Raw genomic sequence first — 16,503 nt, 5'->3', positions numbered from 1 at the left:
TTCAACACTGCTCTCTCAAATGGAAGGTTCAACTCTGTGAGTTGAATGCACACATCACAAAGCAGTTTCTGAGAATGCTTCTGTCTAGTTTGAATGTGAAGATATGCCTTTTACAACGTATTCCTCAAGGAGCTCCCAATATCCACAAGCAGATTCTACAGAAGCAGTGTTTCAAACCTGCTCTGTCAAAGGAAAGTTTCAACTCTGTGAATTGAACACACACATCACAAAGCAGTTTCTAAGAATGCTTCTGTCTAGTTTTTAAGAGAAGATAATCCTTTTTCCACCATAGGCAACAAATCTCTCCAAATGAACACTACCAGGTTCTACAAAAAGTGTGTTTCAACACTGCTCTAACAAAAGAAAGGATCAAGACTTTGAGTTAAATGCACACATCACAAAGCAGTTTCTGAGAAAGCTTCTGTCTAGTTTTTATTTGAAGGTACTTCCTTTTCCTTCTTAGACCTCAAATCGCTCCAAATATCCACTTGCAGATACTACAAAAAGACTGTTTCAAAACCGCTCTCTCAAAAGGAAGGTTCAACTCTGTGAGTTGAATGCACATATTACAAAGCAGTTCCTGAGAATGCTTCTGTCTATTTTTTAGGTGAAGATATCACTTTTTCCAACATAGGCCGCAAAGCATTTGAAATGAACCCTTGCAGATTCTACAAAATGTTTGTTTCAACACTGCTGTATCAAAAGAAAGGTTCAACAATGTGATTTGAACAAACCTATCACAAAGGAGTTTCTGAGAATGCTTCTGTCTAGTTTTTATGTGAAGATATTTCTTTTTCCAACATAGGCAACAAAGCACTCCAAAGAACACTTGTAGATTATACAAAAAGTGTGTTTCAACACTGCTCTACCTAAAGGAAGTTTCAAGTCTGTGACTTAAATGCACACATCACAAAGCAGTTTCTGACAATGCTTCTGTCTAGTTTGTATGTGAAGATATTTCATTTTCCACCATACTCCACAAATCGCTCCAAATATCCACTTGCAAATACTACAAAAAGACTGTTTCAAAACTTCTCTCTCAAAAGGAAGGTTCAACTCTGTGAGTTGAATGCACACATCACAAGGCAGTTTCTGAAAATGCTTCCGTCTGGTTTTTTATTTGAAGGTATTTCCTTTTCTTTCTTCGGCCTCAAATCACTGCAAATATCCACTTGCAGATTCTACAAAAAGACTGTTTCAAAACCGCTCCCTCAAAAGGAAGGTTCAACACTGTGAGTTGAATGCACATGTTACAAAGCAGTTTCCGGAATGCTTCTGTCTATTTTTCAGGTGAAGATATCACTTTTTCCAGCATACGCACAAAAGAACTCGAAATTTACACTTGCAGATTCTACAAAAATTATGTTTCAACACTGCTCTATCAAAAGAAAGGTTCAACGATGTGAATTGAACACACACTTCACAGAGGAGTTTCAGAGAATGCTTCTGTCTAGTTTTTAAGTGAAGATATTCCTTTTTCCCACATAGGCAACAAAGCGCTCCAAAGGAATACTTGTGGATTCTACAAAAAGTGTGTTTCAACACTGCTCTATCAAAAGAAAGTTTCAAGTCTGTGAGTTGAACGCACACATCACAAAGAACCTTCTGAGAATGCTTGGGTCTACTTTTTATGTGAAGATACCCGTTTCCAACGAATAACTCAAAGAGTTCCAAATATACACAATCAGATACTACAAAAGGAGTGTTTCACTCCTCCTCTGTCAAAAGACAGTTTCAACTCTGTTAGTTGAATGCACACATCCCAATGAAGTTCCTGAGAAGGCTTCTGCCTAGTTTTTTGTGAAGATGATAGTCCCTTTTCCACCATGGGCTTCAAAGCGCTCCAAATGAAAACTTGCAGGTCCTACCAAAAGACTGATTCAAAACTGCTCTATCAAAAGAACGGTTCCACTCTGTTAGGTGAATGCACACATCACAAGAAGTTTCTGAGAATGCTTCTGTTTAGTTTGTATGTGAAGATATTTCCTTTTACATCATAGTACTCGAATCGCTCCAAATATCCACCTGCAGACGTTACAAAAAGACTGTTTCAAAACTGCTCTCTCAAAAGGAAGGTTCAACTCTGTGAGTTGAGTGCACACATCACAATGGAGTTTCTGAGAATACTTCTGTCTAGTTTTTATGTGAAGATATTATATTTTCCACCTTAGGCCTCAAATCGCTCCAAAAATCCAATTGCAGATACTACAAAAAGACTGTTTCAAAACTGCTCTCTCAAAGGGAATTTTCAACTCTATGAGTTGAATGCACACATCACAAAGCAGTTTCTGAGGATGCTTCTGTCTAGTTTGTATGTGAAGATATTTCCTTTTTCATCATAGGCCTCAAATCGCACCAAATATCCACTTGCAGATACTACAAAAAGACTGTTTCAACACTGCTCTCTCAAAAGGAAGGTTCAACTCTGTGGGTTGAATGCACACATCACAAAGCAGTTTCTGAGAATGCTTCTGTCTAGTTTGTATGTGAAGATATTTCCTTTTCCATCATAGACCTCAAATCGCTCCAAATATCCAATTGAAGATACTACAAAAAGACCGTTTCAACACTGCTCTCTCAAATGGAAGGTTCAACTCTGTGAGTTGAATGCACACATCACAAAGCAGTTTCTGAGAATGCTTCTGTCTAGTTTGTATGTGAAGATATGGCTTTTACAACGTATTCCTCAAGGAGCTCCCAATATCCACAAGCAGATTCTACAGAAGCAGTGTTTCAAACCTGCTCTGTCAAAGGAAAGTTTCAACTCTGTGAATTGAACACACACATCACAAAGCAGTTTCTAAGAATGCTTCTCTCTAGTTTTTAAGAGAAGATAATCCTTTTTCCACCATAGGCAAGAAATCTCTCCAAATGAACACTAGCATGTTCTACAAAAAGTGTGTTTCAACACTGCTCTATCAAAAGAAAGGATCAAGACTTTGAGTTAAATGCACACATCACAAAGCAGTTTCTGAGAAAGCTTCTGTCTAGTTTTTATTTGAAGGTACTTCCTTTTCCTTCTTAGACCTCAAATCGCTCCAAATATCCACTTGCAGATACTACAAAAAGACTGTTTCAAAACCGCTCTCTCAAAAGGAAGGTTCAACTCTGTGAGCTTGAATGCACATATTACAAAGCAGTTCCTGAGAATGCTTCTGTCTATTTTTTAGGTGAAGATATCACTTTTTCCAACATAGGCCACAAAGCATTTGAAATGAGCACTTGCAGATTCTACAAAATGTTTGTTTCAACACTGCTGTATCAAAAGAAAGGTTCAACAATGTGAATTGAACAAACCCATCACAAAGGAGTTTCTGAGAATGCTTCTGTCTAGTTTTTATGTGAAGATATTTCTTTTTCCAACATAGGCAACAAAGCACTCCAAAGAACACTTGTAGATTATACAAAAAGTGTGTTTCAACACTGCTCTACCTAAAGGAAGTTTCAAGTCTGTGACTTAAATGCACACATCACAAAGCAGTTTCTGAGAATGCTTCTGTCTACTTTGTATGTGAAGATATTTCATTTTCCACCATACTCCACAAATCGCTCCAAATATCCACTTGCAAATACTGCAAAAAGACTGTTTCAAAATTTCTCTCTCAAAAGGAAGGTTCAACTCTGTGAGTTGAATGCACACATCACAAGGCAGTTTCTGAAAATGCTTCCGTCTAGTTTTTTATTTGAGGTATTTCCTTTTCCTTCTTCGGCCTCAAATCACTGCAAATATCCACTTGCAGATACTACAAAAAGACTGTTTCAAAACCGCTCTCTCAAAAGGAAGGTTCAACACTGTGAGTTGAATGCACATGTTACAAAGCAGTTTCTGGAATGCTTCTGTCTATTTTTCAGGTGAAGATATCACTTTTTCCAACATACGCACAAAAGAACTCGAAATGGACACTTGCAGATTCTACAAAAAGTATGTTTCAACACTGCTCTATCAAAAGAAAGGTTCAACGATGTGAATTGAACACACACTTCACAGAGGAGTTTCAGAGAATGCTTCTGTCTAGTTTTTAAGTGAAGATATTCCTTTTTCCCACATAGGCAACAAAGCGCTCCAAATGAATACTTGTGGATTCTACAAAAACTGTGTTTCAACACTGCTCTATCAAAAGAAAGTTTCAAGTCTGTGAGTTGAACGCACACATCACAAAGGACCTTCTGAGAATGCTTGGGTCTACTTTTTATGTGAAGATACCCGTTTCCAACGAATAACTCAAAGAGTTCCAAATATACACAATCAGATACTACAAAAGGAGTGTTTCATTCCTGCTCTGTCAAAAGACAGTTTCAACTCTGTTAGTTGAATGCACACAGCTCAATGAAGTTCCTGAGAAGGCTTCTGCCTAGTTTTTTGTGAAGATATTCCCTTTTCCACCATAGGCTTCATAGCGCTCCAAATGAAAACTTGCAGGTCCTACCAAAAGACTGATTCAAAACTGCTCTATCAAAAGAACGGTTCCACTCTGTTAGGTGAAGGCACACATCACAAGACGTTTCTGAGAATGCTTCTGTTTAGTATGTATGTGAAGATATTTCCTTTCCCATCATAGTACTCGAATCGCTCCAAATACCCACTTGCAGACATTACAAAAAGACTGTTTCAAAACTGCTCTCTCAAAAGGAAGGTTCAACTCTGTGAGTTGAGTGCACACATCACAATGGAGTTTCTGAGAATACTTCTTTCTAGTTTGTATGTGAAGGTATTTCCTTTTCCATCTGAGGCCCCAAGTCACTACAAATATCCACTTGTAGATACTACAAAAAGACAGTTTCAAAACCTCCTTCTCAAAAGGAAAGTTCAAATCTGTGAGTTGAATGCACACATCACAAAGCAGTTCCTGAGACTGCTTCTGTCTAGTTTGTATGTGAAGATATTTCCTTTTCCATCATAGGCCTCAAATCGCTCCAAATATCCACTTGCAGATACTACAAAAGACCGTTTCAACACTGCTCTCTCAAAAGGAAGGTTCAACTCTGTGGGTTGAATGCACACATCACAAAGCAGTTTCTGAGAATGCTTCTGTCTAGTTTGTATGTGAAGATATTTCCTTTTCCATCATAGGCCTCAAATCGCTCCAAATATCCAATTGAAGATACTACAAAAAGATCGTTTCAACACTGCTCTCTCAAATGGAAGGTTCAACTCTGTGAGTTGAATGCACACATCACAAAGCAGTTTCTGAGAATGCTTCTGTCTAGTTTGTATGTGAAGATATGCCTTTTACAACGTATTCCTCAAAGAGCTCCCACTATCCACAAGCAGATTCTACAAAAGCAGTGTTTCAAACCTGCTCTATCAAAGGAAAGTTTCAACTCTGTGAATTGAACACACACAGCACAAAGCAGTTTCTAAGAATGCTTCTCTCTAGTTTTTAAGAGAAGATAATCCTTTTTCCACCATAGGCAAGAAATCTCTCCAAATGAACACTAGCATGTTCTACAAAAAGTGTGTTTCAACACTGCTCTATCAAAAGAAAGGATCAAGACTTTGAGTTAAATGCACACATCACAAAGCAGTTTCTGAGAAAGCTTCTGTCTAGATTTTATTTGAAGGTACTTCCTTTTCCTTATTAAACCTCAAATCGCTCCAAATATCCACTTGCAGACACTACAAAAAGATTGTTTCAAAACCGCTCTCTCAAAAGGAAGGTTCAACTCTGTGAGTTGAGTGCACACATCACAATGGAGTTTCTGAGAATACTTCTGTCTATTTTTTAGGTGAAGATATCACTTTTTCCAACAGAGGCCACAAAGCATTTGAAATGAACACTTGCAGATTCTACAAAATGTTTGTTTCAACACTGCTGTATCAAAAGCAAGGTTCAACAATGTGAATTGAACACACCCATCACAAAGGAGTTTCTGAGAATGCTTCTGTCTAGTTTTTATGTGAAGATATTTCTTTTTCCAACATAGGCAACAAAGCACTCCAAAGAACACTTGTAGATTATACAAAAAGTGTGTTTCAACACTGCTCTATCTAAAGGAAGTTTCAAGTCTGTGAGTTAAATGCACACATCACAAAGCAGTTTCTGAGAATGCTTCTGTCTAGTTTGTATGTGGAGATATTTAATTTTCCACCATACTCCACAAATCGCTGCAAATATCCACTTGCAAATACTACAAAAAGACTGTTTCAAAACTTCTCTCTCAAAAGGAAGGTTCAACTCTGTGAGTTGAATGCACACATCACAAGGCAGTTTCAGAAAATGCTTCCGTCTAGTTTTTTATTTGAAGGTATTTCCTTTTCCTTCTTCGGCCTCAAATCACTGCAAATATCCACTTGCAGATACTACAAAAAGACTGTTTCAAAACCGCTCTCTCAAAAGGAAGGTTCAACACTGTGAGTTGAATGCATATGTTACAAAGCAGTTTCTGGAATGCTTCTGTCTAGTTTTGATGTGAGGATATTTCTTTTACCACCATAGGCAACACAGCGCTCCAAATGAACACTTGCAGATTCTTCGAAAGCAGTGTTTCAAAACTACCCTATCAAAAGAAAATTTCAACTCTGTGAATTGGACACACACTTTACAAAGTAGTTTCTGAGAATGCTTCTGTCTAGTTTTTAAGTGAAGATATTCCTTTTTCCCACATAGGCAACAAAGCGCTCCAAACGAATACTTGTGGATTCTACAAAAAGTGTGTTTCAACACTGCTCTATCAAAAGAAAGTTTCAAGTCCTGTGAGTTGAACGCACACATCACAAAGAACCTTTCTGAGAATGCTTGGGTCTACTTTTTATGTGAAGATACCCGTTTCCAACGAATAACTCAAAGAGTTCCAAATATACACAATCAGATACTACAAAAGGAGTGCTTCATTCCTGCTCTGTCAAAAGACAGTTTCAACTCTGTTAGTTGAATGCACACATCTCAATGAAGTTCCTGAGAAGGCTTCTGCCTAGTTTTTTGTGAAGATAGTCCCTTTTCCACCATGGGCTTCAAAGCGCTCCAAATGAAAACTTGCAGGTCCTACCAAAAGACTGATTCAAAACTGCTCTATCAAAAGAACGGTTCCACTCTGTTAGGTGAATGCACACATCACAAGAAGATTCTGAGAATGCTTCTGTTTAGTTTGTATGTGAAGATATTTCCTTTTCCATCATAGTACTCGAATCGCTCCAAGTATCTACCTGCAGACGTTACAAAAAGACTGTTTCAAAACTGCTCTCTCAAAAGGAAGGTTCAACTCTGTGAGTTGAGTGCACACATCACAATGGAGTTTCTGAGAATACTTCTGTCTACTTTGTATGTGAAGGTATTTCCTTTTCCATCTGAGGCCCCAAGTCACTACAAATATCCACTTTCAGATACTACAAAAAGACTCTTTCAAAACCGCTCTCTCAAAAGGAAAGTTCAAATCTGTGAGTTGAATGCACACATCACAAAGCAGTTCCTGAGACTGCTTCTGTCTAGTTTGTATGTGAAGATATTTCCTTTTCCATCATAGCCCTCAAATCGCTCAAAATATCCACTTGGAGATACTACAAAAGACCGTTTCAACACTGCTCTCTCAAAAGGAAGGTTCAACTCTGTGGGTTGAATGCACACATCACAAAGCAGTTTCTGAGAATGCTTCTGTCTAGTTTGTATGTGAAGATATTTCCTTTTCCATCATAGGCCTCAAATCGCTCCAAATATCCACTTGCAGATACTACAAAAAGATTGTTTCAACACTGCTCTCTCAAATGGAAGGCTTAACTCTGTGAGTTGAATACACACATCACAAAGCAGTTTCTGAGAATGCTTCTGTTTAGTTTGTATGTGAGGATATGCCTTTTACAACGTATTCCTCAAGGAGCTCCCAATATCCACAAGCAGATTCTACAGAAGCAGTGTTTCAAACCTGCTCTGTCAAAGGAAAGTTTCAACTCTGTGAATTGAACACACACATCACAAAGCAGTTTCTAAGAATGCTTCTGTCTAGTTTTTAAGAGAAGATAATCCTTTTTCCACAATAGGCAACAAATCTCTCCAAATGAACACTACCAGGTTCTACAAAAAGTGTGTTTCAACACTGCTCTAAAAAAAGTAAGGATCAAGACTTTGAGTTAAATGCACACATCACAAAGCAGTTTCTGAGAAAGCTTCTGTCTAGTTTTTATTTGAAGGTACTTCCTTTTCCTTCTTAGACCTCAAATCGCTCCAAATATCCACTTGCAGATACTACAAAAAGACTGTTTCAAAACCGCTCTCTCAAAAGGAAGGTTCAACTCTGTGAGTTGAATGCACATATTACAAAGCAATTCCTGAGAATGCTTCTGTCTATTTTTAGGTGAACATATCACTTTTTCCAACATAGGCCGCAAAGCATTTGAAATGAACCCTTGCAGATTCTACAAAATGTTTGTTTCAACACTGCTGTATCAAAAGAAAGGTTCAACAATGTGAATTGAACAAACCCATCACAAAGGAGTTTCTGAGAATGCTTCTGTCTAGTTTTTATGTGAAGATAATTCTTTTTCCAACATAGGCAACAAAGCACTCCAAAGAACACTTGTAGATTATACAAAAAGTGTGTTTCAACACTGCTCTACCTAAAGGAAGTTTCAAGTCTGTGACTTAAGTGCACACATCACAAAGCAGTTTCTGAGAATGCTTCTGTCTAGTTTGTATGTGAAGATATTTCATTTTCCACCATACTCCACAAATCGCTCCAAATATCCACTTGCAAATACTACAAAAAGACTGTTTCAAAACTTCTCTCTCAAAAGGAAGGTTCAACTCTGTGAGTTGAATGCACACATCACAAGGCAGTTTCTGAAAATGCTTCCGTCTAGTTTTTTATTTGAAGGTGTTTCCTTTTCCTTCTTTGGCCTCAAATCACTGCAAATATCCACTTGCAGATACTACAAAAAGACTGTTTCAAAACCGCTCTCTCAAAAGGAAGGTTCAACACTGTGAGTTGAATGCACATGTTACAAAGCAGTTTCTGGAATGCTTCTGTCTATTTTTCAGGTGAAGATATCACTTTTTCCAACATACGCACAAAAGAACTCGAAATGGACACTTGCAGATTCTACAAAAAGTATGTTTCAACACTGCTCTATCAAAAGAAAGGTTCAACGATGTGAATTGAACACACACTTCACAGAGGAGTTTCAGAGAATGCTTCTGTCTAGTTTTTAAGTGAAGATATTCCTTTTTCCCACATAGGCAACAAAGCGCTCCAAATGAATACTTGTGGATTCTACAAAAACTGTGTTTCAACACTGCTCTATCAAAAGAAAGTTTCAAGTCTGTGAGTTGAACGCACACATCACAAAGAACCTTCTGAGAATTATTGGGTCTACTTTTTATGTGAAGATACCCGTTTCCAACGAATAACTCAAAGAGTTCCAAATATACACAATCAGATACTACAAAAGGAGTGTTTCACTCCTGCTCTGTCAAAAGACAGTTTCAACTCTGTTAGTTGAATGCACACATCTCAATGAAGTTCCTGAGAAGGCTTCTGCCTAGTTTTTTGTGAAGATAGTCCGTTTTCCACAATGGGCTTCAAAGCGCTCCACATGAAAACTTGCAGGTCTTACCAAAAGACTGATTCAAAACTGCTCTATCAAAAGAACGGTTCCACTCTGTTAGGTGAACGCACACATCACAAGGAGTTTCTGAGAATGCTTCTGTTTAGTTTGTATGTGAAGATATTTCCTTTTCCATCATACTACACGAATCGCTCCAAATATCCACCTGCAGACATTACAAAAAGACTGTTTCAAAACTGCTCTCTCAAAAGGAAGGTTCAACTCTGTGAGTTGAGTGCACACATCACAATGGAGTTTCTGAGAATACTTCTGTCTAGTTTGTATGTGAAGGTATTTCCTTTTCCATCTGAGGCCCCAAGTCACTACAAATATCCACTTGCAGATACTACAAAAAGACTGTTTCAAAACCTCCCTCTCCAAAGGAAAGTTCAAATCTGTCGGTTGAATGCACACATCAAAAAGCAGTTTCTGAGAATGCTTCTGTCTAGTTTGTATGTGAAGATATTTGCTTTTCCATCATAGGCCTCAAATCGCTCCAAATATCCACTTGCAGATACTACAAAAGACCGTTTCAACACTGCTCTCTCAAAAGGAAGGTTCAAATACTGTGGGTTGAATGCACACATCACAAAGCAGTTTCTGAGAATGCTTCTGTCTAGTTTGTATGTGAAGATATTTCCTTTTCCATCCTAGGCCTCAAATCGCTCCAAATATCCACTTGCAGATACTACAAAAAGACTGTTTCAACACTGCTCTCTCAAATGGAAGGTTCAACTCTGTGAGTTGAATGCACACATCACAAAGCAGTTTCTGAGAATGCTTCTGTCTAGTTTGTATGTGAAGATATGCCTTTTACAACGTATTCCTCAAGGAGCTCCCAATATCCACAAGCAGATTCTACAGAAGCAGTGTTTCAAACCTGCTCTGTCAAAGGAAAGTTTCAACTCTGTGAATTGAACACACACATCACAAAGCAGTTTCTAAGAATGCTTCTGTCTAGTTTTTAAGAGAAGATAATCCTTTTTCCACCATAGGCAACAAATCTCTCCAAATGAACACTACCAGGTTCTACAAAAAGTGTGTTTCAACACTGCTCTAACAAAAGTAAGGATCAAGACTTTGAGTTAAATGCACACATCACAAAGCAGTTTCTGAGAAAGCTTCTTTCTAGTTTTTATTTGAAGGTACTTCCTTTTCCTTCTTAGACCTCAAATCGCTCCAAATATCCACTTGCAGATACTACAAAAAGACTGTTTCAAAACCGCTCTCTCAAAAGGAAGGTTCAACTCTGTGAGTTGAATGCACATATTACAAAGCAATTCCTGAGAATGCTTCTGTCTATTTTTTAGGTGAAGATATCACTTTTTCCAACATAGGCCGCAAAGCATTTGAAATGAACCCTTGCAGATTCTACAAAATGTTTGTTTCAACACTGCTGTATCAAAAGAAAGGTTCAACAATGTGAATTGAACAAACCCATTACAAAGGAGTTTCTGAGAATGCTTCTGTCTAGTTTTTATGTGAAGATATTTCTTTTTCCAACATAGGCAACAAAGCACTCCAAAGAACACTTGTAGATTATACAAAAAGTGTGTTTCAACACTGCTCTACCTAAAGGAAGTTTCAAGTCTGTGACTTAAATGCACACATCACAAAGCAGTTTCTGACAATGCTTCTGTCTAGTTTGTATGTGAAGATATTTCATTTTCCACCATACTCCACAAATCGCTCCAAATATCCACTTGCAAATACTACAAAAAGACTGTTTCAAAACTTCTCTCTCAAAAGGAAGGTTCAACTCTGTGAGTTGAATGCACACATCACAATGCAGTTTCTGAAAATGCTTCCGTCTAGTTTTTTATTTGAAGGTATTTCCTTTCCTTCTTCGGCCTCAAATCACTGCAAATATCCACTTGCAGATACTACAAAAAGACTGTTTCAAAACCGCTCTCTCAAAAGGAAGGTTCAACACTGTGAGTTGAATGCACATGTTACAAAGCAGTTTCTGGAATGCTTCTGTCTATTTTTCAGGTGAAGATATCACTTTTTCCAACATACGCACAAAAGAACTCGAAATGGACACTTGCAGATTCTACAAAAAGTATGTTTCAACACTGCTCTATCAAAAGAAAGGTTCAACGATGTGAATTGAACACACACTTCACAGAGGAGTTTCAGAGAATGCTTCTGTCTAGTTTTTAAGTGAAGATATTCCTTTTTCCCACATAGGCAACAAAGCGCTCCAAACGAATACTTCTGGATTCTACAAAAAGTGTGTTTCAACACTGCTCTATCAAAAGAAAGTTTCAAGTCTGTGAGTTGAACGCCCACATCACAAAGAACCTTCTGAGAATGCTTGGGTCTACTTTTTATGTGAAGATACCCGTTTCCAATGAATAACTCAAAGAGTTCCAAATATACACAATCAGATACTACAAAAGGAGTGTTTCATTCCTCCTCTGTCAAAAGACAGTTTCAACTCTGTTAGTTGAATGCACACATCTCAATGAAGTTCCTGAGAAGGCTTCTGCCTAGTTTTTTGTGAAGATAGTCCCTTTTCCACCATGGGCTTCAAAGCACTCCAAATGAAAACTTGCAGGTCCTACCAAAAGACTGATTCAAAACTGCTCTATCAAAAGAACGGTTCCACTCTGTTAGGTGAATGCACACATCACAAGAAGTTTCTGAGAATGCTTCTGTTTAGTTTGTATGTGAAGATATTTCCTTTTCCATCATAGTACTCGAATCGCTCCAAATATCCACTGGCAGACATTACAAAAAGACTGTTTCAAAACTGCTCTCTCAAAAGGAAGGTTCAACTCTGTGAGTTGAGTGCACACATAACAATGGAGTTTCTGAGAATACTTCTTTCTAGTTTGTATGTGAAGGTATTTCCTTTTCCACCTGAGGCCCCAAGTCACTACAAATATCCAATTGCAGATAATACAAAAAGACTGTTTCAAAACCTCCCTCTCAAAAGGAAAGTTCAAATCTGTCGGTTGAATGCACACATCACAAAGCAGTTTCTGAGAATGCTTCTGTCTAGTTTGTATGTGAAGATATTTCCTTTTCCATCATAGGCCTCAAATCGCTCCAAATATCCACTTGCAGATACTACAAAAGACCGTTTCAACACTGCTCTCTCAAAAGGAAGGTTCAACTCTGTGGGTTGAATGCACACATCACAAAGCAGTTTCTGAGAATGCTTCTCTCTAGTTTGTATGTGAAGATGTTTCCTTTTCCATCATAGGCCTCAAATCGCTCCAAATATCCACTTGCAGATACTACAAAAAGACTGTTTCAACACTGCTCTCTCAAATGGAAGGTTCAACTCTGTGAGTTGAATGCACACATCACAAAGCAGTTTCTGAGAATGCTTCTGTCTAGTTTGTACGTGAAGATATGCCTTTTACAACGTATTCCTCAAGGAGCTCCCAATATCCACAAGCAGATTCTACAAAAGCAGTGTTTCGAAACTGCTCTATCAAAGGAAAGTTTCAACTGTGTGAATTGAACACACACATCACAAAGCAGTTTCTAAGAATGCTTCTGTCTAGTTTTTAAGAGAAGATAATCCTTTTTCCACCATAGGCAACAAATCTCTCCAAATGAACACTACCAGGTTCTACAAAAAGTGTGTTTCAACACTGCTCTAACAAAAGTAAGGATCAAGACTTTGAGTTAAATGCACACATCACAAAGCAGTTTCTGAGAAAGCTTCTGTCTAGTTTTTATTTGAAGATGCTTCCTTTTCCTTCTTAAACCTCAAATCGCTCCAAATATCCACTTGCAGATACTACAAAAAGACTGTTTCAAAACTGCTCTCTCAAAAGGAAGGTTCAACTATGTGAGTTGAATGCACATATTACAAAGCAGTTCCTGAGAATGCTTCTGTCTATTTTTTAGGTGAAGATAACACTTTTTCCAACAAAGGCCTCAAAGCATTTGAAATGAACACTTGCAGATTCTACAAAATGTTTGTTTCAACACTGCTGTATCAAAAGAAAGGTTCAACAATGTGAATTGAACACACCCATCACAAAGGAGTTTCTGAGAATGCTTCTGTCTAGTTTTTATGTGAAGATACTTCTTTTTCCAACATAGGCAACAAAGCACTCCAAAGAACACTTGTAGATTATACAACAAGTGTGTTTCAACACTGCTCTACCTAAAGGAAGTTTCAAGTCTGTGACTTAAATGCACACATCACAAAGCAGTTTCTGAGAATGCTTCTGTCTAGTTTGTATGTGAAGATATTTCATTTTCCACCATACTCCACAAATCGCTCCAAATATCCACTTGCAAATACTACAAAAAGACTGTTTCAAAACTTCTCTCTCAAAAGGAAGGTTCAGCTCTATGAGTTGAATGCACACATCACAAGGCAGTTTCTGAAAATGCTTCCGTCTAGTTTTTTATTTGAAGGTATTTCCTTTTCCTTCTTCGGCCTCAAATCACTGCAAATATCCACTTGCAGATACTACAAAAAGACTGTTTCAAAACCGCTCTCTCAAAAGGAAGGTTCAACACTGTGAGTTGAATGCACATGTTACAAAGCAGTTTCTGGAATGCTTCTGTCTATTTTTCAGGTGAAGATATCACTTTTTCCAACATACGCACAAAAGAACTCGAAATGGACACTTGCAGATTCTACAAAAAGTATGTTTCAACACTGCTCTATCAAAAGAAAGGTTCAACGATGTGAATTGAACACACACTTCACAGAGGAGTTTCAGAGAATGCTTCTGTCTAGTTTTTAAGTGAAGATATTCCTTTTTCCCACATAGGCAACAAAGCGCTCCAAATGAATACTTGCGGTTTCTACAAAACGTGTGTTTCAACACTGCTCTATCAAAAGAAAGTTTCAAGTCTGTGAGTTGAACGCACACATCACAAAGAACCTTCTGAGAATGCTTGGGTATACTTTTTATGTGAAGATACCCGTTTCCAACGAATAACTCAAAGAGTTCCAAATATACACAATCAGATACTACAAAAGGAGTGTTTCATTCCTGCTCTGTCAAAAGACAGTTTCAACTCTGTTAGTTGAATGCACACATCTCAATGAAGATCCTGAGAAGGCTTCTGCCTAGTTTTTTCTGAAGATAGTCCCTTTTCCACCATGGGCTTCAAAGCGCTCCAAATGAAAACTTGCAGGTCCTACCAAAAGACTGATTCAAAACTGCTCTATCAAAAGAACGGATCCACTCTGTTAGGTGAATGCACACATCACAAGAAGTTTCTGAGAATGCTTCTGTTTCGTTTGTATGTGAAGATATTTCCTTTTCCATCATACTACACGAATCGCTCCAAATATCCACCTGCAGACGTTACAAAAAGACTGTTTCAAAACTGCTCTCTCAAAAGGAAGGTTCAACTCTGTGAGTTGAGTGCACACATCACAATGGAGTTTCTGAGAATACTTCTGTCTACTTTGTATGTGAAGGTATTTCCTTTTCCACCTGAGGCCCCAAGTCACTACAAATATCCACTTGCAGATACTACAAAAAGACTGTTTCAAAACCTCCCTCTCAAAAGGACAGTTCAAATCTGTCGGTTGAATGCACACATCACAAAGCAGTTTCTGAGAATGCTTCTGTCTAGTTTGTATGTGAAGATATTTCCTTTTGCATCATAGGCCTCAAACCACACCAAATATCCACTTGCAGATACTGCAAGAAGACTGTTTCAAAACTGCTCTCTCAAAAGGAAGGTTCAACTCTGAGTGTTGAATGCACACATCCCAAAGCAGTTTCTGAGAATGCTTCTGTCTAGTTTGTATGTGAAGATATTTCCTTTTCCATCATAGGCCTCAAATCGCTCCAAATATCCACTTGAAGATACTACAAAAAGACTGTTTCAACACTGCTCTCTCAAATGGAAGGTTCAACTCTGTGAGTTGAATGCACACATCACAAAGCAGTTTCTGAGAATGCTTCTGTCTAGTTTGTATGTGAAGATATGCCTTTTACAACGTATTCCTCAAGGAGCTCCCAATATCCACAAGCAGATGCTACAGAAGCAGAGTTTCAAACCTGCTCTGTCAAAGGAAAGTTTCCACTCTGTGAATTGAACACACACATCACAAAGCAGTTTCTAAGAATGCTTCTGTCTAGTTTTTAAGAGAAGATAATCCTTTTTCCACCATAGGCAACAAATCTCTCCAAATGAACACTACCAGGTTCTACAAAAAGTGTGTTTCAACACTGCTCTAACAAAAGTAAGGATCAAGACTTTGAGTTAAATGCGCACATCACAAAGCAGTTTCTGAGAAAGCTTCTGTCTAGTTTTTATTTGAAGGTACTTCCTTTTCCTTCTTAGACCTCAAATCGCTCCAAATATCCACTTGCAGATACTACGAAAAGACTGGTTCAAAACCGCTCTCTCAAAAGGAAGGTTCAACTCTGTGAGTTGAATGCACATATTACAAAGCAGTTCCTGAGAATGCTTCTGTCTATTTTTTAGGTGAAGATATCACTTTTTCCAACATAGGCCACAAAGCATTTGAAATGAACACTTGCAGATTCTACAAAATGTTTGTTTCAACACTGCTGTATCAAAAGAAAGGTTCAACAATGTGAATTGAACACACCCATCACAAAGGAGTTTCTGAGAATGCTTCTGTCTAGTTTCTATGTGAAGATATTTGTTTTTTCAACATAGGCAACAAAGCACTCCAAAGAACACTTGTAGATTATACAAAAAGTGTGTTTCAACACTGCTCTACCTAAAGGAAGTTTCAAGCCTGTGACTTAAATGCACACATCACAAAGCAGTTTCTGAGAATGCTTCTGTCTACTTTGTATGTGAAGGTATTTCATTTTCCACCATACTCCACAAATCGCTCCAAATATCCACTTGCAAATACTACAAAAAGACTGTTTCAAAACTTCTCTCTCAAAAGGAAGGTTCAACTCTGTGAGTTGAATGCACACATCACAAGGCAGTTTCTGAAAATGCTTCCGTCTAGTTTTTTATTTGAAGGTATTTCCTTTTCCTTCTTCGGC

The 16,503-nt window shown here is 38.0% G+C and overlaps 1 annotated feature.

The window, feature by feature from the left end:
• Positions 1-16,503: part of a centromere (Linear centromere model derived predominantly from reads generated in PMID: 17803354. This region does not represent an actual centromere sequence, as long-range ordering of repeats and unmapped WGS contigs is not provided by the model. For details of model production, see http://arxiv.org/abs/1307.0035.) that runs on past both edges of the window.

This window comes from Homo sapiens, chromosome 5, assembly GCF_000001405.40.
Source record: "Homo sapiens chromosome 5, GRCh38.p14 Primary Assembly".
Taxonomy (NCBI): Eukaryota; Metazoa; Chordata; class Mammalia; order Primates; family Hominidae; genus Homo; species Homo sapiens.
The sequence above is the reverse complement of the archived record's forward strand: the minus strand, read 5'-3'. Positions and strand labels throughout refer to the sequence as shown.